At 44.7% G+C, this 2,136-nt stretch overlaps 1 long non-coding RNA gene across 1 annotated transcript; it reads right to left on the bottom strand.

Annotated features, from left to right (window-relative positions):
• Window positions 1-555: 555 nt before the first annotated feature.
• Window positions 556-1,841, bottom strand: LOC124903503 (uncharacterized). The gene is made up of 2 exons (XR_007064670.1): window positions 1,618-1,841; window positions 556-697 (listed from the first exon to the last, which is right to left on the bottom strand). It is a non-coding gene; the product is annotated as an uncharacterized LOC124903503 (long non-coding RNA).
• Window positions 1,842-2,136: the final 295 nt, after the last annotated feature.

Consider the following 2,136-nt stretch of genomic DNA (forward strand, 5'->3'; position numbering starts at 1 on the left):
AGGAAGAAATCGGGGAAGGAAAGAAGGAAAGAAGGGAGGGAGGGAGGGAGCGAGGGAGGAAGGAAGGGAGGAAGAAAAATGGAGGAAGGAAGGAAAGAAGGGAGGCAAGGTGGGAAAGGAGAGGAAAGAAGGAAGGACAAAGGAAGGAAGGAAAGAAAGGAAGGAAGGACAGAAAGAAGGAAGGAGGAAATATTGAAGAAGGGAGGGAGGGAGGGAGGGAGGGAGGGAGAGAGAAAGGAAGGAAGGACAGGGTGTGGCACCCTCTGAGCCCTGACTGGCACTAACTCCAGGTGCACTGCCCTGGAGTCCTTTACCTCTTCTGGGCCTTGGCTGCACTGTGATGGGGAGAGGCTAGATGATTTCTAAGGTCTCAGCCATATCATGCTGTGACTCAAAGCACAAGTAGGACATGAATGCTGTGGCCTAGACTCTTAAGTGTAAATACAGGTGTAGTGTTTTTCCTGTATAAGCTGACAAATACTACAAGAAGAAAGCATTGATTTTTAAAATAAGCCATGTGCTTTATATAAGAAGTACTTTTCACATAGACTTCCATGATATTATAAGCAGATGTGAGTCGTTTATTAAATTTACAAACAGCAAAGTTCCGTAATGATGGACCTCCCTAGGACGGCCAGCTATTCTTTGGCAGAATTCCAGCAGGAAATTTTCTGGTGTCGACAGTTCTTCTTTCCTCCTGGAACCACACACTATTAGACAATGTTTGAATTATTTAAATATGCCCAAGTCTACAGTTCATTGTCTTATTTCAAAGGACTGTGCTTCTATAAATCATATCAAACGTCTGAGATCCTGACCAAAAAATTGAAAAAAAAATCAGGCACAGATACTCCTGGCTATTGAAGGAAAGTATACAGCAGAAGGAAAGGATATTACATAATGAAAGTAAGTATCCATTGTTTGGAAGGTTTATGTTAACACAAGAGGACATAATGCAGTCGGTTGGCCCTAAAGGTAAAGATATGTGTGAGCCTGGGCAACATGCTGAAACCCTGTCTCTACAAAAAATACAAAAATTAGCCAGGGCATGGTGGTGCATGCCTGTGGTCCCAGCCTCCGAAGGAGGCTGAGGTGGGAGGATCGCTTGAGCCCACTGCAGTGAGCCATGAGTGTGCCAGTGCACTCCAACCTGGGTGAAAGAGCAAGACGCTATCAAAAAAAAAAAAAAAATGTGTGTGTGTCTCTGTGTTGATTTTGAATTAAACTAGTTTAAAATTGCATACCACTCTCATAAGAGCAACAATAAAGTCAGTCTATTACAATATGTGAGGAACCAGGGGTTGCTTAAAGCAATTTTTCTCCCTATTATAGAAGGGAACAGCAAGCCCTCCTGAAACCTTGACACCATCTATGATGATGGATCCCAGACCATCACTGTGTGATCAGTTTCATCCTGGTTTTCATTTGAAAGAGGAAGCAGTTTGAAAACCAGGGGTTTTCTCTAATTTTAGAAGAAAAAAAGACAGGCCAACTTTTCAATATTCTGTTGGTCTTAGTCAAGTTATGTAAGACCCAGTCCCTCGCCTCTAGCTGCTGCCAGGAATTAGATACACACGTGCAAAGAGATGTGCAGGAACAAAATACAGTGAGTCTTACCAGTGGAGAACATTTCCTCTGCTCTTGGCTTGGCTAATGGAGACTTGGACTCTGGGAGAAACACTGTCAGTTTCAGCATTTGTGGAGACAAAGACCAGGGCTTCTCCCAGCATGGGCAGCTCTCTCACTCTGCCGCGGCCTCTGCTGATGTTGGTTCATTTCAGCCTACCTTGCACAAGAGGTGTATGGGTACATGGGAGAGACAGGAAGGTGGTGAGGAACAGAATTACTATCACCAGAAAACAGACTCTGAGACTCTGATATTTTCATGCAGTGGGTTGACTGGGGAATGCTTTCATTCCTCAATACACTATTGAGGGAGTAAGGAAAGCAGGCTACACGAGGAAAAGGTTGGACTGTGATGCAGTCATGAAAAGACCTCGGTCTGCCGGGCGCGGTGGCTCACGCCTGTAATCCCAGCACTTTGGGAAGCTGAGGCGGGTGGATCACAAGGTCAGGAGTTCAAGACCAGCTTGGGCAATATGGTGAAACCCCATCTCTACTAAAAATACAAAAATT

This window comes from Homo sapiens, chromosome 15 (assembly GCF_000001405.40).
Source record: "Homo sapiens chromosome 15, GRCh38.p14 Primary Assembly".
Taxonomy (NCBI): Eukaryota; Metazoa; Chordata; class Mammalia; order Primates; family Hominidae; genus Homo; species Homo sapiens.